Source organism: Homo sapiens, chromosome X, assembly GCF_000001405.40.
Source record: "Homo sapiens chromosome X, GRCh38.p14 Primary Assembly".
Taxonomy (NCBI): domain Eukaryota; kingdom Metazoa; phylum Chordata; class Mammalia; order Primates; family Hominidae; genus Homo; species Homo sapiens.
Window position 1 is genome coordinate 19,433,949 of NC_000023.11, and position 24,484 is coordinate 19,458,432.

The 24,484-nt window shown below is 43.7% G+C and overlaps 1 protein-coding gene across 5 annotated transcripts in view; it reads right to left on the minus strand.

Annotated features, from left to right (window-relative positions):
- The window catches only part of MAP3K15 (mitogen-activated protein kinase kinase kinase 15), a 155,450-nt gene that overhangs the window by 73,890 nt on the left and 57,076 nt on the right, over nucleotides 1–24,484 (minus strand). For all 5 annotated transcript variants that reach the window (XR_007068188.1, NM_001001671.4, XM_011545508.4 and 2 more), the window contains one exon: nucleotides 22,965–23,071. Coding sequence is in view for 4 of the 5 variants with exons in the window: in NM_001001671.4 (NP_001001671.3) it covers nucleotides 22,965–23,071 (107 nt within the window). In the remaining variant the exon portion in view is untranslated. The remainder of the gene's footprint in view (nucleotides 1–22,964; nucleotides 23,072–24,484) is intronic.

Genomic DNA, 24,484 nt, shown 5'->3' on the forward strand with positions numbered 1-24,484 from the left:
ATTATAAAGGGACAGATCCACGTGTAATTACCCAGAGGAACATCCGTAACAGTAACATCTCATGGAAAAAACCTGAACTAAATGAAAAGCATGACCCCATTCTTTGAAATAAACACATTCACATGTTAATGTACATAGACAAAAGTCTGTAAGGATACATATTAAAATGTTCAGAAAATCATTGCTGGGATTTATACAAGGTGGTCCTGGGTATATTTTATTAATAACCATTCTAATAAGTGAATAAATTATTCTTTTTAATTTCTTGGTAATAGGTTTTTTTTGTTTTTTTTTTGAGATGGAGTCTCACTCTGTCACCCAGCCTGGAGTGTGGTGGCACAATCTCAGCTCACTGCAACTCTGCCTCTCAGGTTCAAGCGATTCTTCCACCTCAGCCTCCCAAGTAGCTAGGATTACAGGTGTGCACCACCACACCCAGCTAATTTTTTAATTTTTTTTTTTTTTTTTAAGGAGAAATGGGGTTTAACCATGTTGGCCAGGCTGGTCTTGAACTCATGATCTCAGGTGATCCACCCGCCTCGGCCTCCCAAAGTGCTGGGATTACAGGCGTGAGCCACTGCGCCCGGCCACAATAGGCTCTTTTATGTTTTCTTTCCTGAGGACATGCACCTCAAAAACTACTGCATCATCCCAGATGTCAAATTAGTATCTAAAATGGCCAGACTTTCTCAACCGGGGTTCCATGACAGAATTAATCCCTGGAAAAAATTATTTGATTATTTGAGTGACTATTTTTTCAGTGCTCCCAAGGATGGTACGTAGCCAGCCTCATTCCGGATGCAGAAGAGAAATTCAATCACTTCATACAATAGATGCCAGCGGGCATTAGGACTTAATTCTCTTGTGGAACCCAACCTGGGTTGGAAAGGGCTAATCTAGACACTTGGCGACCTTCTGGAAACCTGTAATAATTAAGCCTGTATTTTGACTCGGACTTTTTCCATTTTCTACCTTGATCCTGTTCTAACATATTTTATCTTTCCTCTTTTTGTCATATAGAATCTAATTGAACTAACCTGCAAACTGGATCTCTTGTTGCACAGCCATTGTATAATATTCTTTAATTTTTAAGAGCCAACAGATACCAACTCAAATTTACTAGAGCATTTAAATAATTTCTAATGTCTGTGGCAAGAATATGAAAAAGATTGAAACTTTTATGAGGCACAACATTTCTACATCTGTAATTAGCCAACTTTTGAGGTGTGAAATATTCATGATTCTGAAAAGAATGTACTAAACTCAATAAACTCACTTGAATGCTTTTTTTTTTTTTTTCTCTTTGAGACAGGGTCGCCCAGGCTGGAGTGCAGTGGTACGATCTCGGTTCACTACAGCCTCAACCTCCCAGGCTCAAGCGATCCACCCACCCCAGCCTCCCAAGTAGCTGTGACTACAGGCACGTACTACCACACCTGGCTAATTTGTGTAGTTTTTGTAGAGACGGGGTTTCACCATGTTGCCCAAGCTAATGCCTAATTAGTGATATGAGCTCAGGTTTGTTTGGATTTTAGTTTTTTGGACCAGTTACATCAAGATTTCCCTTGAATTTTCTCATTAACTTGAAATTTACCCTTGTTACTCAAAACAAAAAGTCTTTTGAGTATAAACAAAACAAAAATCAAACATTTGAAAAAATTAAAAGCAAAGAGATTTTCAGCTTAAAAGCCACTTTAAGACAGGTGTTAAATAGCTAATCCCTTTAGTGGTTAATAATCAGCTTTTGGATCTGCTTATCATTTCCAGATCCCAAGGTATCCAAGAACAAGCCTACAGATAAAAACTCCTATGTTGAATCAGCCAGCAACATCTGTTTCTGGCAATTAAGGCCATTTCACAATTAAGAGAAGGAAACTTTGACAGTGGGTCTGAATCTTGGCTGCATATTAGAATCACCTGGGAGGCTGGGCGTGGTGGCTCACGCCTGTAATCCCAGCACTTTGGGAGGCCAAGGCGGGCAGATTACCTGAGGTCAGGAGTTCGAGACCAGCCTGGCCAACATGGTGAAACCCTGTCTCCACTAAAAATACAAAAATTAGCAGGGCATGGTGGCAGGTGCCTGCAGTCCCAGCTACTCGGGAGGCTGAGATAGGAGAATCACTTGAACCCAGGAGGCGGAGGTTGCAGTGAACCGAGATCGCACCATTGTCCTCCAGTCTGGGCAACAAGAGGGAAACGCCATGTCAAAAAAAAAAAAAAGAAAGAAAGAAAAAAAAAATTCAATCACCTAGGAGCTTAAATCTGAATCTCTGGAGACCCAGACATCAGTGCTTCTCATGCTGGACTTTCTGCGTCAGTGGGTTGGCATCATTGCTGAATCCACCACTCCCTTCTCACTCCTTGTCCTATTTCACATACATGTGCATTTGACAACCGTGCACCCCTTCCTCCTTGGACTACTTTTATCATCTGATTTGCAGGACACCACACTCGCCCGATTTTCTCCTACTTTAGTCCATCTCTCTGATCTTTTCACATTGGAGTGTCCCTTGGCAGTACCCTTGGACATTTCATCTTTCTTGGTAACTACCCTAGATCCCTTGATCATCCATTGCCATGACTTTTCAAACCATCCATATTTTGATGACTTCCAAATTTCTATCTCCAGCCTAGGCCTCTCCCCTAAAATCCAGACTCACATATCCAACTGCCCTCTCAGCAACTCATTTGCATGTTGATACCTCAAACTTAACGTGTCCCAAATCAAACTTTTTTTTGTCCCCCTCAGACAGAGTCTCAACTCTGTCATCCAGGCTGGAATGGTGTGATGCATTCTCAGCTCACTGCAACCTCTAACTCACAGGCTGAAGCGACTCTCATGCCTCAGCCTCCCAAGTAGCTGGGATTACAGGCGTGCACCACCAGGCCCAGCTAATTTTTGCATTTTTAGTAGAAACAGCGTTTAGCCATGATGACCAGGGTGGTCTTGAACTCCTGGCCTCAAGTGATCTGCCCACCTTGGCCTCCTCAAGTGCTGGGATTACAAGTGTGCACCACCATGGCTGGCCCCAAATCAAACTCTTGATTGTCCCATCAAACCTGTTCTTCTACAGTCTTCCTCTTCTTGTTAAATGGCCAATCCATTCTTCCTCTTACTCAGGCCAAAAACTTTGCAGTCATGTTTGGTTCCTCTAACACCATTTATTGGACCAGGAGATTCCACTGGCTTTTATTTCAAACTACATCTGAAATTGACCCACTCCTCATAAAGCCCACCCTTACCACTCTGGTCCAAGCCATGTCATTTCCTGCTTCCACACTTACCTCTCTACTATCTAGTCTCAACACAGAAGTCATAGTGATCCTCTGCGCTGTAAGGCAGGTCATGTCATCCTTCGACTCAAAACTCACCAGTGGCTCCCATCTTAGAGCAAACACCAATTTTCTTCCAATGGCCTGTAAGGATCTACAAGATGTGGTCCTAGTTATTTCTCCAACCTCATCTCTTACCACTCCTGTGCCCCGATCACCTACTATGCTCCAGCTACACAAGCTTCCTTGCTGTTCCACATGCTGATCCCTCTACCTGAAATGATCTTCCCCCACATACCACATGGTATGTTCCCTTGCCTCTTTCTGATCTTTGCTCCATGTCACTTTCTAATAGGTGTGGTCTTCTCTGAGCACTCAACTTAAAATTACAATCTTCCCATCCTACTTACTGGCTACCCTATCACCCTAAACTGTTTTAATACATTTAGGTTTTTTTTATTCTATCTCCCCATTTTAGAATGCAAGCTCCGAGAGGGTGGAGACTTTTTGGGTCTGATTTGTTAACTACTGTACTTAGAACTGGATCTGGCACAAAGTAGGTGATCAATAAGTGTCTGTTAAATGAATGACTAACTGAGCAGTTATTGTAGTGACATGGAGAGATCTCTAAGCATCGATTACTATGTGAAAAAAACAACAGTATACCTCCTGTGTGGTCCTATAGTTTAAAAACTCTGCAGTATGACATATTTTCACAGTATGTAAAGTACATAGAAAATTGTCTCCAAGGATATTACACCAAACTGACAAGACAGGTTACTTCCGGAATATGGACGGGACAAGAGATTAGAGTTTAGAGGGATAACTGCTTTAAATGGATTGTTTTTCAGTTTTTCACAGTAATATACAAACATATTCATCTATTATCACTTTTGTTTTTTTGAGGCAGGGTCTTGCTCTGTTGCCCAAGTGGAATGCACTGAGTGGTGTGATCACGGCTCACTGTAGGCTCAAGCTCCTGGGCTCAAGTGAAACTCCTGCCTCAGAGTGCTGGGAATACAGGCACGCATGACCACACCTAGCTTTTATTTTTATTTATTTATTTGGTAGAGATGGGGTCTCACTATGTGGCCCAGGCTGATCTCAAACTCCTAGGCTCAAGTGATCCTCTCGCCTTGGCCTCCCAAAGTGCTGAGACTGCAGGCATGAGCCAACACATCTATTACTTATGTAAAAAATGCACAGAATAAAAACACAACACTGGATTGGGAATCATATAGAGCTAGATCCTGGCTATTTTCACACCATTTATTACCCAATTGAATTTTGAGGAGGGCACTTAGCCCTTCTGTGCCTCAGTCCTTCACCTGAAGTGTCTGACTTTGCTTACCTCAAAGCATTGCCATGAGCTATGGGTGTGCCAGAGCACTGACTTGCCATCAACCATCCTGTCTCCCTGGCCCTCTTTTCTATACTGTGTGTCTGTAAGAGGAAATTCATAGGGCAAGAGACAAATAGAATCCCAATAAATCCTCCTTCTAAGCCAGCCCTGAGCTTTAACACACAAAAGGTCTCATTAGACCAGTGTCCTTTCTAGAATAAACTTTGTGTTGGGTCACCTGTCAAAAACCTTACAAGAGACTTCTGCTTCCAATTAAGATGTAGAAGAATGTGAAAGGTCTTCACTCCTGTAGTGACAATAAAAACCCCAACAAATGTAAAAATCACACTGAGTCCGGGCACAGTGGCTCATGCCTGTAATCCCAGCACTTTGGGAGGCCGAGACGGGCAGATCACTTGAGGTCAGGAGTTTGAGACCAGTCTGGCCAACATGGTGAAACCCTGTCTCTACAAAAATACAAAAATTAGCCAGGTGTGGTGGTAGGTGCCTGTAATCCTAGCCAGTCGGGAGTCTGAGGCAGGAGAATTGCTCAAACCCAGAAGGTGAAGGTTGCAGTGAGTAGAGGTCGTGCCACCGGCCCTCACTCTCCCTCTCACCATATGAGCTGCCTGCTCCGCCTTCACCTTCTGCCATGAATAAAACCTGCCTGAGACCTCCCCAGAAGCTGAGCAGACACCAATGCCATGCTTGTACAGTCTGCAGAACTGTGAGCCAATTAAACCTGTTTTCTTTATAAATCACCCAGTCTCTGGTATTTCTTTATAGCAATATGAGAACGGCCTAACACAGGGATATAATATTCTATATCTTGATTGTGGTGGTAGTTTCATGGGTGTGTTTATTTGGCCAAACTCATCAAATCGTGCACTTAAAATTTTAGTTTATTGTATGGTGGTTTTTTGAGACAGGATCTCACTGTCACCCAGGTTGGAATACTGTGGCATGGTCATAGCTCAACCACAGCCTTCAACTCCCAGCCTCAAGCAATCCTCCCATCTCAGCCTCCTGAGTAGCTGGGACTATAGGCGTACACCACCAAGGCAAGATAATTTTTTCATTTTTATTTTATAGACAGAGTCTCACTGTGTTGTCCAGGCTGGTCTCAAACTCCTGGCCTCAAGTGATCCTCCCACCTCGGCCTGCCAAAGTACTAGGATTACAGGCATGAGTCACAGTGCCCGGCCTATGGTATGTAAGTTACACCTTATTAAAGCTGACTTTAAAAATACTAGAAACTGAGCAGTAATTCTGAATAGTGTCCTACTGGGGCAATCACTGGGGTCTGCCCTCAAATGCATTCTTGGCCTTTCTGCAGCCCTGCTTTGTGTTACAGGGGAGCTGACTCCTCTAGGCTGCTGTGCTCAGCTGACAGCAACCGGTGGGAGGCACTGGGGGCAGAGGGTGAGGCCCTGGAGGATGGGATGGAAGAAGCCAGCGCAGTTTCTTCTCCCACTTTTTCTTGGTGTGCATGGCCACTCCAGCAATAGCCACATCTCTTTGTTAGACCCAGCTCCCACCAGGCTGGCTCACGATTGTTCCAGGTGATCCTGGCACCTGGGCTCTGGTAACATCACCTCTTCCCTGGGTCCCTCCAGCCAAGCGGGTGACAGCAGCTTCCTGCTGATGCTAACTTCAGGGCTGCCTCATCATTTCCGATTGGTTTGTCAGCTCTTCTATCACCTGTGTAACCAATTTCCTACATTAAGTTTCTTCTATTTTAAATACTTAGAGTGGTCTTTGTTTCCCGATTGGACCCTGACAAATACACACCTACCACAAGAAAGCAGGTGCCCTGCTCTGGCCAGATGCCTCGTATTTACATACATGGAAGGGAACAACTAGAAGCGACCTGTGTCTTAGTGTGAACAATGTTCAGAGTCAAATAAACGTACAGATCCGAATAGTTGTTTTTCTACTCTACAAATAGGACCCAGTTATGTATCAGGCACAATCACCATGAAATCATCCACCCTAGCTGCCATCATCCCAACCTTTCCCAGTCTCCTGGGATGGCAAAGCACCACCTGTGAAGGCCAGGGTCTACAGTGGGCTGATAGGCCCTCTGATGGGGCTGGGCATTTCCCAGGCTGGCTTTCCCATTCACACAAAGGCAGCAGGAGCTGAAGAGTGGCCTTGCCTGAACTCTCTGTCCTGCTCTGTGACATGTCACCAGGAATCTCCACGCTGATAGATCCAGTTAAACTCTACTCCTTATTTGCAAGTTGTAGCAGCATCACCAAGCCCCATTTCTTTTTTTCCTGGGCACTCAGCCAGACCACATTTCCCAAGTTCCCTTGAAGTGAGATTAGGACACGAGACTGACTTGTGGCCGATGAAACATGGAAAGAAGTAATGAACATCACTTCCTGAGCAGGCTCCTACAACCCTCTCTAGTACAGTCAAAAGTGCAAACAACTCAAATGCCCATCAACTGATGAATTAATAAAGTGTGGCCTATCTGTACAATGGAATATTAAGCCAAAAAAAGGAATGAAGTCCTGACACATGATACCACATGGATGAACCTTGAAGACAGTATGCTAAGGAAGCCAGACACACACAAAACACATATTGTATGATTCCATTTATATGAAATGGCCAGAACAGGCAAAGCCATAGAGACAGAAAAGAGACTAGTGTTTTCCTCAGGCTAGAGAGTGAGGCGGAAGAAGAGGGGGTACCCATTAACAGGTTGCCAAAATGGATCAGTGATTGCTTAGGAATAGGGGGGGAAGAATTGAGGGAAGCTGGGAAGTGGGGTTAAGTGGTAATGGGTATGGGCTTTTGGTGGCGGGGGGAGGATGATGAAAACATTCTAAAACTGATCGTAGTGATGGTTGTACAACTCCGAATATGCTAAAAAAACCCACCGACTTGTACACTTTAAATGGGTTGTTTTTTGGGTCTTTGAGACAGGGTTTGGGTCCGTCGTCCAGGCTGGAGTGCAGTGGCACGATCTCACTGCATCCTCCGACTCCAGGGCTCAAGCCATCCCGAGTAGCTGGGAATATAGGCATGCACCATAATGCCTGGTTAATTTTTTTGTATTTTTTTGTAAAGACAGGGTTTTGCCATGTTGCCCAAGCTAGTCTCGAACTCCTGAACTCAAGCCATCCGCCTGCCTTGGCCCCGCAAAGTGCTGGGATTACAGGTGTGAGCCAATGCATCCAGCCAAAATGGGTTAATTGTATGGTATGAGAATTACATCTCAGCAAAGCTGTTCCAAACACAGATACAAAACCTCTCTAACAAGTCACCATGCTCTTTTCCTATCATCTGGCTGAAAGGAGATCTGAGGATCCAGGAGAGGGCAGAGCCTCAAGATGTAAGGAGACTGAGTTCACCAAGAAATCACCTGAAGAAGAGACTGCCCAGCCAGGATACATCCACATTGGAATAGTGCATGAGTGAAAAGAAACTTCCATCATGTGAAGTCACTGAAATTGTGGGGCTGTCTGTTACAACAGTTACACTAGCCTAATACACAAGTCAACACCACCGAGGCGGCAGGGGTTCCCTCGGTCAGGAAGATCTGTTCCCCTCTGAGTTTTTATCAAATCCCTTTTTTAGCAGACACCAGGGATTCTCACGCTAGGAAGACTTCCATCACCACTGACCCTGACCTAGCCCATGTGGACTCCTCTACTTTTCTGCATTCCCTGCTTTGGGCCACACCCTACTTCAATGGTTATCTTTGGGTAGTGGTATCAACGGTAATTATGTTTTTATATTTTTCTGTATACAATGAGTATGTCTGACTTGGATGTTTTTGTTTTTAAGCACAGACTCACATATAAATAAAGAAAATACAATACGTTTACTTTCTACTACCAAACTTTAAATTAACTGTAGCACCCAGACACTCATTATGTGGCTCTCTTCTAATACTATACCACAGTTGATCATTAGTCACTTCTTCATTCACTTACCCATTCAACAATTTTTTTTTTTTTTTTTGAGGCAGAGTCTCACTCTGTCGCCCAGATTGGAGTACAGTGGTGCGATCTCGACTCACTGCAACCTCTGCCTCCTGGGTTCAAGTGATTCTCCTGCCTCAGCCTCCCAAGTAGCTGGGACTACAGGCATGTATTACCATGCCTGGCTTTTATTTTATTATTATTATTATTATTATCATTATTATTATTATTATTATTTTGAGATGGACTCTGACTCTGTTGCCCAGGCTGGAGTGCAGTGACACAATCTCGGCTCACTGCAATCTCCACTTCCCGGGTTCAGTTGATTCTCCTGCCTCAGCCTCCCGAGTACCTGGGATTACAGGTGCGCACCACCACACCTGGGTAATTTTTTATATTTTTAGTAGAGACGGGGTTTCACCATGTTGGCCAGGCTGGTCTCAAACTCCTGACCTCAAGTGATCCACCTGCCTCGACCTCCCAAAGTGCTGGGATGACAGGCATGAGCCACCATGCCCGGCTTTTTTTTTTTTTTTTTTTTTTTTTTTTGAGATGGAGTCTCGCTCTGTCGCCCAGACTGGACTGCAGTGGCACAATCTCAGCTCACTGCAACTTCCGCCTCCCGGGTTCAAGTGATTCTCATGCCTCAGCCTTCTGAGTAGCTGGGATTACAGGTATGTGCCACCATGCCTGGCTCATTTTTGTATTTTTAGTAGAAACGGGGTTTTACCATGTAGACCAGGCTGGTCTCAAACTCCTGACCTCAAGTGATCTGCCTGCCTCGACCTCCCAAAGTGCTGGGATGACAGGCATGAGCCACTGCGCCCAACCCCATTCAACAAATCTTTACTGAGTGCCTACTCTGTGGGTGGCACAATGTTACTAGGCACTGGCTATATCACGGCCTAGTATACACCATGGCCCCTGCCCCCTCAGGCTTATAGTACAGCAGGAGGGATGATAGGTATTAAGCAAGTAAACACAGAAATGGAGTGCTATAAAGGGAAATAGCAAGCGCTATGAGAATGAGTAACAATAGGAACATCCTTTCCAGACTTGGTATTCTTTGCAACATCAGCTTTTCTCAGAAAGAGACACTGAAACTAGACCCTGAAGGATCATCAGCTTCAGTCAGGTAAGCAATGAGGGAACGAGTATTCTGGGCGGGGGCACAGCATATGCTAACATCCACAGCTGAGAACAGCCTGCTGCCCTAAGACTGAAGGCGGATGAGGGCAGCTAGAGAGGAGCAAACCGGGAGGGACGGGCCAGGCCACATGGAGTCATTTCTATTCCTCTTATGCCAAGTTTCTCAAAGGCTCTGCCTAATCAAGGAACTTCCTACTCCAAAGGACTCAGGAGCTATTCTCCAGGTTTCATATGTCACTCCAAATGGCTTTCCAGATTCTAGCTCCTCCCAAGAAGCCTTCCCCCAAATACCCAAGTAATAGCCATTTTTCCATAAATGTGCTCCACTTACCGGGCCATCCTCACACCCCCAGCTGCACAGGAAAACTAGCACATGGATAGTTCCTTCATGTCTCCTGAATCCTTTTCTGCACATTCCTGCCATCCATGAATAATCCCCCAAGGGCTGGCTGCTGGTGAGAACTTCCTTTCATCTGACTTGCTGAGCAACTATTCTTTAAAACCTCAAGAAAAGTGGCATTGTTGTTAAAATAATATTTAGTGCATGTCACCTAAGATCACCACGAGACCTATTCTAGTGTGCTGCTAAGAGTAAGCGTCTAGGTCATTTTTCATAGGAATTTTCTCATCTCATACAGGTCCTCTGATGGTTATCACTGATGTTTCCTTTGGCTTGATGGCAGAGCCAAGATCGCCATCTGTTCTTAAAGGGAGGGATCACAGGAGAGTTTTCTCTCTACAGTGATTCTCCTGAGCTGCTGTGAGGAGAAGCCAAATCTACGTGTGCAAAATCCAGAGATACGCCACTAAAACTTTTCTACCTGCTCAGAACGATATTCGTTGGCCGCTCAATCACGCATTAAAAAAATAGAACCACTTTTGAATAAAGAAATATCTCAAGGAAAAATCTTCAATACAGTAGCCAGGCAACTATGGCATCAATACCTCTGGTAACAGATCTCGAAGTGTACATATTTTAGATCATTCCTGGCATCTTCTGCAGAGCAGAACAAACTACAAGAAACTAAAATTAAATTCTCCCCAGAATTCTGTACAAAACAGAACACAGGAAGACTCAGAAGCTCCTCAGAAATTGATATTTCAAGAAAAACAGTTGATCAGAAAAAGAAGGCATTAGAGATTTAAAACAACATCAACTCCCACAAGGGCAGTAGGTGCGAAAGACACACAATGGCCTGATAGCATCCCACTGCCACTCACCTGTAGGCTTGATGGGTCCCAGTGCCACTGCCATTCTCCCTCTCCCCACTACCCCTGGGAGTGTCCCACCCCCAGGGCAGCCCTCAACCAGTGATGGCTGAGAGTTAGTGGATAGGTCCCCAGCTTCCTCGTCCACTGGATGAGACAACTCTATATGTTGTTCTATAGAGAATGTTCTATAAAGCCTCCCCAAACTCCTCAACACTATACAGCCTCAGTTTCCCACACAGTGGTCATCTGCTCATTAATATACCCTCTACTGCCTTTCTTCTTTTCCCTATCTCATTTCCCTGTCTCCCTTCTGAAACTTCCTAGGCTCATCTCCCAAATAAACTATCTGCCCCCAAATTCGTATCTCAGGGGCTGTTTTGGGGTGGGGGGAGACCTAGATTATGACTCTAGACATGTATTAAAAGTTTTTATTAAGAAAAATTAGGGGCCAGGCATGGTGGCTCATGCCTGTAATCCCAGCACTTTGGGAGGCTGAGGTGGGTGGATCACTTGAAGCCAGGAGTTCAAGACCAGCCTGGCCAACATAGTGAAACCTCGTCACTACTAAAAGTAGAAAAATTAGCCAGTGTGGTGACGGACGTCTGTAATTTCAGCTACTCGGGGGGCTGAGGCAGGAGAATCGCTTGAACCGAGGAGGCAGAGGTTGCAGTGAGCTGAGATCACACCACTGCACTCCAACCTGGGCGACAGAGTGAGACTCTGTCTCAAAAAAAAAAAAAAAAAAAATTAGTGATGGAAATATCAAACTAAAATTGCTTTTAAAATTAATCAGCCAAAGGCCAGGTGTAGCGGCTCACGCCTGTAATCCAAGCACTTTGGGAGGCTGAGGCGGGTGGATCACCCTCATGAGGTCAGGAGTTCGAGACCAGCCCGGCCAACATAGCGAAAGCCAATATCTACTAAAAATACAAAAATTAGCCAGGCGTGGTGTCAGGTGCCTGTAGTCCCAGCTACTCGGGAGGCTGAAGCAGGAGAACTGCTCGAACCCGGGAGGCAGAGATTGCAGTGAGCTGAGATCATGCCATTGTACTGCAGCCTGGGCGACAAGAGCGAAACTCCATCTCAAAAATCAATAAATAAATAAATAAATAAATAAATAAATATTAATCAGCCAGCAACAGCAACAAAACTAGACAGAGACTAGCTGAGGTAGTGGGCAAATAATTTGAGGAAAATTTGGCATTTGGCCGTGAAATAAACTGTATGTGTGCCTTTTAGTTCACTTAACCTGCGTTCTAACAAAATCTTTTATTGTTTAAGGAAAAACTCCGTTATTATAACGTGTTACTAGGAAGCAAAGTGAGAAAGCACACAGAGTAGGTTTTCCTCTCCCTGGGAACGGTGACGTAATTGAGTTTACAACAACAAATAGGACTGAGATAGATCGCTGATAGGATAAAGAATCCATCATAAAGCAAGGTCTTAAAGGATCTGTCTCTAATCATTCAACTAATAAAATGATGCTTCAAGTTATAGACTCAGAACTTTTGAAAGGAGAGCAATATTCAAAATCATCTGGTCCAAATCACTCTCTCTCTCTCTCTTTAAAAAAGATGACTATAAGGTCTAGGTCTAGGAAAGTTTGGTGACCTGCCTAAGGCCATGCAGATAGTGGTGGAGTCGTAACCTGGCTCATGTCAGTCCAGTTTACAAAACCTTCAGTAATTACTCCCTAGGGACTACAGAACAAAATTCAAATTCCTTAGCTTATCAGTCAAGGTCCTTAACCCCTGGGGCCAACCTCCCTCCTCAGCCATCTATTTCTCCCTATCACCTAAATAAACCCTTCAGTCAGGCTAAACTGGACTGTTCACTGTAGTCAGAGCCCATCTTAACCTCCGGTCTTATCAAACATCAACCACTGAAATACACGGGGTGGCATCGGGTGAACTTGTAATCTGGCACCTGGAGTACAACTAAAGAGACAACCTCAACTGGAACTGGTACCCAGCCTACAGCCTTCCCTTCCTTTTTTTAAAAAAATTATTTATTTATATATTTTAAAAATTAATTAGGTAATTTATTTTTTAAACTTAATGATTTATTGATTGAGACAGGGCCTGGCTCTGTGGCCCAGGCTGGAACGCAGTGGTACAATCATAGCTCACTGCAGCCTTGACCTCCTGGGCTCATGCGCTACTCCTGCCTCAGTCTCCTGAGTAGCTGGGACTATAGTTGTACACCACCACACCGGCTAATTTTTAAATTTTGTTTTGTAGAGACGGGGTCTTGCTATGTTGCTCAGGCTGGTCTCAGACTCCTGACCTCAGGAGTTGCTGGGATTACAGGTGCAAGCCACTGTGCTTGGCCCTTTTTATTTCTTGTCTTCTGTATGTCCACTTCTACTAATTCCTGGGAAGTAAAGTGACTTGCCCACAGATACCCAGCTAGTTAGGAGGAGAACTGGGATAGAATACAGGCTGCCTAAATCTCAAACCAACACTTTTCCTACAACACAAAGTCCTTTCTTTACAAGTCCTTCAACACAGGCATAAACGTATCCTCCCTACATTGCTGAAATAAGAGCTGTGATATACTACAAAGTGTTCAAACACACTGAAACACAACTGTTCTGAATCTTAAGTGAAGCATTATCCAAACTCACTTACTGATAATATTTCATCTAAAGTAAAATGTGAATTGCCATCCTGAATTTAGAAGGGGGTTATACAGGGTTGATTTAGTGGCCCTTCTGTCTCTTTAGAAACTCACCCACGAGGCCGGGCGCGGTGGCTCACGCCTGTAATCCCAGCACTTTGGGAGGCCGAGGCAGGCAGATCACGAGGTCAGGAGATGGAGACCATCCCGGCTAAAAGCGGTGAAACCCCGTCTCTACTAAAAATACAAAAAATTAGCCGGGCGTAGTGGCGGGCGCCTGTAGTCCCAGCTACTTGGGAGGCTGAGGCAGGAGAATGGCGTGAACCCGGGAGGCGGAGCTTGCAGTGAGCCGAGATCCCGCCACTGCACTCCAGCCTGGGCGACAGAGCGAGACTCCGTCTCAAAAAAAAAAAAAAAAAAAAAAGAAACCCACGAAAATCTGAAAGGATGTCTCCCACCTTCTCTTTATCAATGTCCTTATCTCAAGGACAACAGCGACAGGGATGAACGCATGTGAAGTCTCTCAACACCCGCTCTAAGGTGTAGGAGGCTGAATCTACAGGAAAGTCAATGTTTCCTAAGTGGAACTGTGGCTTTTCTCATTTGTTTGAAATCCTCAGGCAGCGGGCGAGAAGGCAGCTTTTCCAGGGTTAGTGTCTCCTGAACTTCCAGTTTGGTCTTCCTGACTCAACGTGGCAACGAGGACTTCACAATGCAGCTAACAGGGAATGTCCACATGCGATTGATTCAGAGTGCCAAGCGGAGGCCCTGGTAGCAACTTACATGGGTCAGGATTTTCCTCAGGAATGGTTAATAATTAACGGTTTACCCTGCATGTCAAAATGTATTACAAATAAATTCCCAGTCCTTATGTCCTCAACTGATATCTGAGGCTGGTAACTGCAATACATGCTACCATGAGCCTCAAAACAATCAAGTGAGCAATTGGCAGGGCTGTTAACAGTGTTAACCAATTTTCTGGATGCCCAGTCACAAAGATATGTTAAAACAATGTCTCCTGTATTTGACTTTACTGTTATGGGGGAAAAAATACCTTAAACCACTGGAGGAAGGTCCCCCCCTGTCCCCGAAAAAAAATTATACATGAGAAAAACATAAGGAACTGTGTTCTTAAATCTCATTGATGAAAAAATTTGATGTCAGGTATGGAAAAATTTTATTTTAAAGTCCTTTACGCATTGTATTCATTAGTCTTAGCTCTCTCAGTGTTGCATTTTCTTAGGCTGATAGAAAACTTGGTCATAACATTGTTTTCAGTTCAGACTATCATTGGAGATGACCTAACACTGGTGGTTGGAATTCTCTGGTGGGAAATAGAAGGGCAATTAACATTCATCCAACATTATCTAGGCACCAGACACTATGCTAATATTTTACTTATGATATTATTTAATTTTTAAAGCCTCAAATTAATTCCCACCATTCTACTTTTTTTTCCCAGCAGTCCAGTCCACAGTTTTGTGGGTTGTAAACAGTAGAGCAGTTTTGGAGTATTTCTCAAACCATTCCCCAAGTTGAATGCTCTCTGGGTGACCAACAGCCAGTTAAGAGCTCTGGGCCACTTTTTGGCCACATTACAAGCAGTTTTTCTTGTCTACTTTAAGCAACCATAATTCCTACAGACTAAGCCACTTGGCACTCGCCCTGTTGACTCTGTAATCTTTTTATGTAACACTAGGTTATCTCCCGATTAGAATTAAGAAGTGTAAATGAGGGATAAATGGAGGAGCTATCAAACTTTTATGAACTGCCTTCTAGCTGCCAGGGGCCGTGCAGTCATTTGCATATGGCATATCTTATTTAGGCATCACCATCCTGGTTTACAGATGAACAAATTCAGGCTGAAGGAGTTTAATTAGCTTGACAACATCATATTGTTGGTGATGCAAATGTCAAAGCGTGCACTTTTTCTATACCTCAAATGCCTCCCTGTAAATCAGTGGTCTCAACCAGAAGGGATTTTTGTCCCCTATGGGACATTTATCAATGTCTAGAGACATTTTTGGTTGTTACATTGGGTGAGGTGCGGGGGGAGTGGTATTGGCATCTAGTGGGTAAAGACGAGGGATGTTGCTAAACATCTTACTATACATAGGACAGCCCCCATGACAGAGAGTTATCCAGCTCCAAATATCAATAGTGCCAAGGTGAAGAAACCCACTCTAAATCAATAAACTTTGAATTTACCAAACGATCGCTTTTTTCTGCAAATACCTATATTCAGATCAACCCTGTCCCACGCAAAATAGTCATCTCAGAGGGCCAGAGACTTATTAGAACGATGTTCTGGTGCTAAAAGCACTTCTATAAATTTCTCTTAAGAATTTTTTTTCAGAGCCAAAGGTATGTTATTTTAAATATTGTCTGTGGTGGCAATCTCTGTATTTTGCTAGTAGTTTTGGTATTTGGAAATGGTCAAAAGTTATCCCTCAAACCTGGTAGAAAAAATATGGGTGATCAAGCTACACAGTAATAGTAAGAGCAATAGCCAAGCACCTGCTTCGTGCCAGGAGTACTCCAAGTGATACTACATGGTAGATGTCAGTATCACATTTTATAAATGGGGACACCAACGTTTGAGGAGGTTAAATTACTTGACCACGGCCATAACAATAAAGTACAGAAGCAGGAACTGGAACCCAAATCTGTCTTCAGAACCCATTGGAATGATATTGATTTCCTATGTGCCTTGAAAGCTAGCAATTCCAAATTAGCTGGGCATGGTGGCATGTGCCTACTTAGGAGGCTGAGGTGGGAGGATCACTTGAGCCCAGAAAGTCAAGGTTGCAATGAGCCATCATCACACCACTGCACTCTAGCCTGGACAACAGAGGAGAGGAGGAGAAGAGGACAGGAGAAAAGGGAGAGGAGACGAAAAAAATAAAGAAAGCTGGCAATTCCAAAGAAAAAAATTCCTCTCTGACTGATGCCATAATATTCTGAATAAAGGCAGCATTGCCAAAATCAATGCAGAACACTGCAGTGAAATTCATTTGAATCAAACAAATTCACTTGTTTGTATAAGTTCAGGTGTGTGTGAGAGAGAAATATACACGTGTAATTTTTTATTTTTATTTTACCTTTAAGCTCTGTTGGACTTGAAAACGTGATTTTTTAAAAAATCACCTGTTAACTTCAGTCACCCCTCATGAACCCTCTTCCTTTACACACAGCCCTTCTACTGACACATAAATAAGTTAGTAAATAAAGGAGGAAGGACAAAAAGGAGGGAACTGAAGAAGGAAACAGAAAAGGAAGATATCACGGGCTCAAGGAGGCCAGTGAGGAGCAATGAAGACAGAGCCCTTTAAGCAAATATTTTTTTAAAAGATAACATGTATTATTGGCAAGGCCACTGCTCAGAAGATAAGATGGTTCATTTATCAAAAAAAAAAAATACAACTGGCTTTTTGTTATAAAAAGTATACATGTGGCAAGGATTTCATGGGTATGACATTGAAAGCACAGGCAACAAAGCAGGATTAGATAAATGAGACATCCGGCCGGGTGCAGTGGCTCACGCCTGTAACCCTGGCACTTTGGGAAGCCGAGGCAGGTGGATTACTTGAGGTCAGGAGTTCGAGACCAGCCTTGCCAACAGGGCGAAACCCCATCTCTACTAAAAATACAAAAATTAGCTGGCGTGGTGGTGGGTGCCGGTAATCCCAGCTACTCGGGAGGCTGAGGCAGGAGAATTGCTTGAACCCGGGAGGTGGAGGCTGCCTTGAGCGGAAGTCACACCACTGCACTCCAGCCTGGGCAACAGAGTCAGTTTCCAAAAAAAAAAAAAAAAGAAGAAGATCAGATAAATGAGACATCAAACTTAAAAACTTTTGGGCATCAAAGGATACAATCAACAGAGTGAAAAGTCAACCTATACAATATAGGAAAACAGTTACAAATTGTATATTTGATCGGGAGTCAATAGCCAGAATATATATATATAAAAAAAAAAACCCTCCTACAACTCAACAACAACAAAAATCAAATAACCTTTTAAAAAATTGGGCAAAGAACTTGAATAGACATTTCTCCAAAGATAATATACAAATGGCCAACAAGCAGATGAAAAGATGCTCAGTGTCACTAATCAGAGAAACGTCCATTGAAACTACAATAGGCTATCATCTTATACGCATTAGGGCAGCTAATAAAAAAAAAAAGGAAAACAGAAAATAAGTGTTGGCAAGGATTGGAGAAACTGTACACCGCTGGTGAGATGTAAATGGGGCAGGCACGATGGAAAACAATTTACAGATTCCTCAAAAAATTAAAAATATGCCAGGCATGGTGGTTCATGCCTGTAATCTCAGCACTTTGGGAGGTTGAGATAGGTGGATCACTTGAGGTCAGGGGTTCTAGACCAGCCTAGGAAACATGGCAAAATCCCATCTCTACCAAAAAACATTCGCCAGGTGTGGTGGTGTGCACCTGTAGTCCCAGCTACTCAGGTGGCTGAAGCAGGAGAATCACTTGAACCTGGGAGGTGGAGGTTGCAGTGAGCCAAGATCATGCCACTGCACTCCAGCCTGGGTGACAGAGCAGGATTCTGTCAGAGAAGAGAAGAGAAGAGAAGAGAAGAGAAGAGAAGAGAAGAGAAGAGAAGAGAAGAGAAGAGAAGAGAAGAGAAGAGAAGAGAAGAGAAGAGAAGAGAAGAGAAGAGAAGAGAAGAGAAGAGAAGAGAAGAGAAGAGAAGAGAAGAGAAGAGAAGAGAAGAGAAGAGAAGAGAAGAGAAGAGAAGAGAAGAGAAGAGAAGAGAAGAGAAGAGAAGAGAAGAGAAGAGAAGAGAAGAGAAGAGAAGAGAAGAGAAGAGAAGAGAAGAGAAGAGAAGAGAAGAGAAGAGAAGAGAAAGAGAAGAGAAGAGAAGAGAAGAGAGAAAAGAAAAGAGAAAAGAAAAGAAAAGAAAAGAAAAGAAAAGAAGAAAGAAAAAGAAAAAGAAAAAAATTAAAAATAGGACTACCATATGATCCAACAATTTTACTTCTGGGCATATATCCAAAAGAATTGGAAGCAGGGTCTAGAAGAAATATTTGCACACTATGTTAATAGTAGCACTATCCACAATACTCAAGAGGTAACCTAAATGTCCATCGACAGATGAATGGATAAACAAAATGTGGTCTGTACATACAATGGATTATTCACCCTTGAAAAGGAAGTTCTGACACATGCTACAACCATGAATGAACCTTGAGGACATTACACTAAGTGAAATAAAGCAGTCAGAGAAAGACAAACCCTGTACAAGGTTGTTCAACCAGCGGCCCATATGGTCCATGATGGCTTTGAATGCAGCCCAATACCAATGCGTAAACTTTCTTAAAACATTATGAGGTTTTCTTGCAATTTTTTTTTTTTTAGCTCATCAGCAATGGTTAGTGTATTTTATGTATGGTCCAAGACAATTCTTCTTCCAATGTGGCCCAGGGAAGCCAAAAGATTGGACAGTAGTGCTGTACGATTTCACTTATATGAGGTACCTGGGATAGTCACAGTCACAGAAACAGAAGAATGGTGGTTGCTAGGGACTGGGGAAGGGAGCAACGGGCAGCTGTTTAATGAATGTGTGCATAGTTTCAGATTTACAAAATGAAAACTTCTAGAGCCCCGTTTCACCATATGTGAACATATTTAACAGTACTGAACTATATGCTTAAAAGTGGTTAAGATGGTAAATTTTATATGTATTTTTTTGCTACAATAAACACCAAACCAAGGCCGGGCACAGTGGCTCATGTCTGTAATCCCAGCACTTTGGGAGGCTGAGGCGGGTGGATTACTTGAGGTCAGGAGTTTGAGACCAGCCTGGCCAACACGGTGAAACCTCGTCTCTACTAAAATACAAATATTAGCCAGGCGTGGTGATGCGCACCTGTAATCCCAGCTACTCAGGGGGCTAAGGCAGCAGAATCGCTTGAACCCGGGAGGCGAAGGTTGCAGTGAGCCAAGATTACGCCATTGCACTCCAGCCTGGGCGACAGAGTGAGCGTCTCAGGCCAAAAAAAAAAAAAAAAGTAGTATATGCAGTGTGCTGTGGTAACATTAGGGAGGGAGTTCTGGTTCCAGATCTCTTATTGACCAAGTGTTACATTTTGGGCCCTTGCCTTTTTCTTTGTTTGTTTCTTTCTCCTCTCCAAAACAAAGGATTTGGACTAAATGATTCCTTTTAAGTTGGCAGATTTTGTGGTTCTCTTCACTAGAAAAGCAACAAGTATGTATCCTTCTTTCACAAGATGCTTTTAGGAGCCTGGAGACAATGCATTAGAAAAGTGGGAAGATGTCATCATTTTTCTACATTTGACAAACATGTCATAAAGAATGCTACTTATATCCACATGGAAATTAAGACAGCGAAATCAAACAGCGAACATCAACAGAAGAGACAAAAGGAGGCTCGTGGCTACTGTAGAGATGACGAGCTCACTCTGCCCTCTCGGCTGGGAAGCTCAGAGACTAAGGCTCAGGTGAATACAGTAGGTTCTGGAACAAGCATGCAGCCCCTCTGGTGTGGGCTGGATTCAGTCACGTTCATCTCATGTCCCCTGCACACATTTCTAGGGTCTGCAGAGCATTCTCATCTAGCACTCCCCTTATTTACAGAACGACATATTAGACATTCCAGTCAGTGCGTCACACATCCAACTGCCCTGCCACTTGCTGAGTAATTCAAAGAGGTAAATTTTGCCAGAGTTGGTAGTCTCGATCCAAAGATGCTGGAAGTAGAATATGAGCACATGCCTTCTATTTTGCGACTGGCAAGTTCTATTTTGTTTTGAACCTGGGACTTTGATTCTGATTTTCTTCTTCTAGACCATCCAGCTCACTGGCTGGATCCCTGGTCAGAATATTCTGACTACATTCATATATCTAATAAAGCCCCATTTGTAAAAGCAACAGCAAATACAAATCACTCATAAAATATTCCATGCCATCAAGCAGCAAGCAGTTTAACTGCTCAGTGGAAACTTGAAGTAGCTTTGAATGGGCTTCTGAACGCAGTGGAGTGGAAGGTATCAGGGAAAGCTGACCGGCTCGAGCCAGCTTTCCCACTAACAGGGAGCCCTTGACATCTGAGGGTCGAAAGTCATCCATTACTGCCAACCTTCAGTAACTCATTTCTGGCCATGATTTGCTCCACTTCCTGAGAGCTAAAGGTCAACCTTCATGCAGGAAAACTCATTTCTTGTCCATCACTATTTTCCCCTTTACAGATACAAAGTAATGCCATAAACTCGCTCAAAACTATATATACCAGTTAGGTATCTCTTATCCAAAATGCTCGGGACCAGAAGTGCTTTGGATTTGCAGTATTTCAGATTTTGGAATGTTTACATTATACTTACGAGTTAAGCATCCCTAATTTGAAATACAAAATGCTCCAATGAGCATTTCCTTTGAGCATCATGTTGGCGCTCAAAAAGTTTTGGATTTAGGAGCACTTTTCAATTCAGATTTTCAGATTAGAGATGCTCAATGTGTAATGCAAACTCCTACTATGTTGACGGCTGGCCAACTTAAGCCTAAAGCAAAAATGTGAAATTCAGGATCAGATTACATGTGTAAATGAAGCAAGTATTGCAATCCCATAGAAAATCCTTAGTTTGTTGGAGAAAATGAGGTTCTCAGTGTTGGAGACCCCGTCTGGCCCTATTAAACAGAGCCACTGTCTAACAGGAGATAATCAGACTAGAAGGAAAAGACCCATCAAAGAGAAAGGTGGCTATCTGGTGTGCAATCCCAGCCATTCTGCTTCCAAACGGGAAACGTATTCATCTCAGGATCACCTCATCCTGCTATACCTGTTTCTCCTAAATACCAATTTTCTATGTCTTTTTTTCTTTTTTCTTTTTTTTTTTTTTGAAACAGGGTCTCCATTCTGCCACCCAGGCTGGAGTGCAATGGTGCAATCATGGCTCACTACAGCATCAACTTCCCAGGATCAAGCAAGCCGCCTACCTTAGCCTCCTGAGTAGCTGAGAGACTACAAGCACAAGCCATCATGCCTGGCTAATTTTTTTTTTTTTTTTTTTTTTTTTTTGTAGAGACGGGGTTTTGCCATGTTGCCCAGGCTGGTCTTGAACTCCTGAGCTCAAGTGATCTGCCCGCCTCGGCCTCCCAAAGTGCTGGGATTACAAGCATGAGCCACTGCGGCCGGCCCCAATTTTCCATTTCAAATCTTGTTTTACTCTTTTGTTATTTTGAGAAAATGGCAATCTATTATTTCATTCTCTGTCTGACAACGGTTACCTCTACTATGTCTGGGAAAAAGACTTAGTGATGAGTAACTTAAAAGGCCCTTATAGTTTTTATTTAACAAACCAATTTTTTACAGCACTTACAGTGTGCCAGGCACTCTCCCAAGAACCTCAGGCGTGATGGCTCATTTAATGGTTATTAATCAAGCACAGGTAAATATAAATAAGAATGGAGCTTACTATGTCGGGGGAACAAAGTTACAAGACTTTATCAGGCTTAATGAAGACTGGCCGTCATTCACAACAATGCATCCTTGGGATGCTGGGTTTAAAGGCTGCTGGGGAGAGAGCAGGTGCATTTCCACAGAGACCATGAAGCTTTCTCCCAAAAAGGAATCAGAATCCTACCACTGTTTGCCGATGTCTACTACAAGCACATGCTATATACCCGAGAAATGTATCCATATGTGTAGAAAAAGCATGTACAGCAATGTCCATAGCAGCGCTGTTCTCAGTATCCCCAAACCGCAAACAACCTAGAGGCCCATCAGCAGTAAAACAGATGATTGTGGCATACCTATACCAAGGACTACGCGACGGCAATGAGAACGAACAAACCACTAATACACACAACCGCATAGATGAATCTCGCGAACACGACGATGAATGACACAAAAGAGTACACACTGTGTGATTCCGTTTATGTGAAGTCAAGGACAAGCCAAACTCATCTATGGAGACAGAGGCTGTAACAGTGGTCACCTATGGAGGGGTTAAGGATTGCCTGCAAAGGAGCACAAGGGAACTTCTGGGGTGATGGAAATGTTTTCTTTTTTGATGGGAGTGTTGTTTCCATGTGTATAGCCAATTATCAAACACAAATCATATACTTAAGATCTGTGCATTTCACTGACTGCAAATTTTACCGATTTAAAAAAGAGATGTGACCTCGTATGTGTTACAAGATATGTGAAGCCGGGGGTGCCTGTTTTGATGCCGTCATAAGCTATTAGGATGGATTGATGTGTTCAATCTCACAGCTAGAATGTGTATGCCAAATACAAAGTCCCTGAGGACAAAGACTGGACCTTGTCCATCTTCATAACCTTGGCATTTAGCACGTGACCTGGCTCATACCCGATGTTGAATGAAAGAAGGAAGCACAATTCAATGGGTGGCATGTTTCAAAACCTGTACGTACATTATCGTTCTTACCTATTCAGTGCAAACGCATAGTGGAATTTAATGTTATGCTGATCGGCCAAATCACACGTAGGCAGCATCTCCAGTGTTTCCACCAGCTTCACCATCGCATCATAGTCCTGTTGGCAAGAGGTCCCAAAGTGAGCAAGAGAGGAAACACAGCTCTTCACTGATTTTTCTGAATTGTTATAAACAGGAGACAGCCTCCGCACTTAAAGACAGGCCCTTCCTTACAAAGGGCATTTAGTGAAGTTACTTGTAGCCTTTAATAGGAGGGAAAAAGACCAGAAAATAAGATGGATGAGAGAGAGAAGAACAGAGAAGGAATCCCTGCTATCAAAGGGCATGAAGCATCCAAAGGCAACAAAAGTAAATGAGGCCAGCAGCCAGGAAACAGCTGAGTGTAGGAGAGTTAACAACATCAGCAGAGGCTGGGCGTGGTGGCTCACACCTGTAATCTCAGCACTTTGAGAGGCGGAGGTGGGTGGATCACTTGAAGTCAGGAGTTCGAGACTAGCCTGGCCAACATGGTGAAACCCTGTCTCTACTAAAAATACAAAATATAGCTGGGCATGGTGGCGGGCGCCTGGAATCCCAGCTACTCGAGAGGCTGAGGCAGGAGAATTGATTGAACCTGAGAGGCGGAGGTTGCAGTGAGCCAAGATTGTGCCACTGCATTCCAGGCTGGGCAACAGAGCAAGACTCCGTCTGTCTCAAAATCAAAAACAAAATAAAAAAACAGTATCAGCAGAGATGTGTGTTAAAGTGAGCTGGACAAATACACACAAGCAAACTTCCAGTCAAAGCACATAGATTCCAGTCTTTCCTATTTTGCCAGAATCAAATACATTAATCTAAACTAGTGTTTCTCAACCTTGGGACTAGTGACGTTTCTGGACCATAATTCTCTGTTGTGGGAGCTGTCCTGGGCACTGTAGGATGCTGGCCTTGACCCACTGGAAGCCACAGCACACCACCCACCTCATGCCCCACACACGCACTTAGTTTTTACAACTGAAAATGTCTCCAGACACTGCCAAAAAAGTCCTTGGGTTGAGAACCACTGCTCTAAACTCTGCATAATTACCTGGAGAAAAATTGCGACCATGCTTGTCTCAGCCAAGTCCCCTCTTAGCAGTGCCGCCTGTTACTCTTTCAGCCAGGCTTAGAATCGTTGGAACTGGCCAACTTGCTGACAGCCAGCCATGGTCAGCAGAACAGGGCTTCCCACTGAAATGCCATGCCTGTCCTGTGGCTCTGCGCCTTGATGCTGCTGCCCCAGGAGGGAGAAGGCAGGGTATTCCAAGAACCTCTTGGCCCACCTTTGAGCATGAATGGAAGGTTATGAAAAGAAGGGATACATGAAGGGAAGGACAAAAAGCAGCAGCTCGAGGGAAGAAAGGCTTCAAGAAAAGTCATTCCCATGTTCTTGTCCTGGGAGACAAGACCTAATCATTATCATCCCTAGTAGCAACTGCTATTAAAATCAGCTAGCTGGCCAGGCACGGTGGCTCACGCCTGTAATCCCAGCA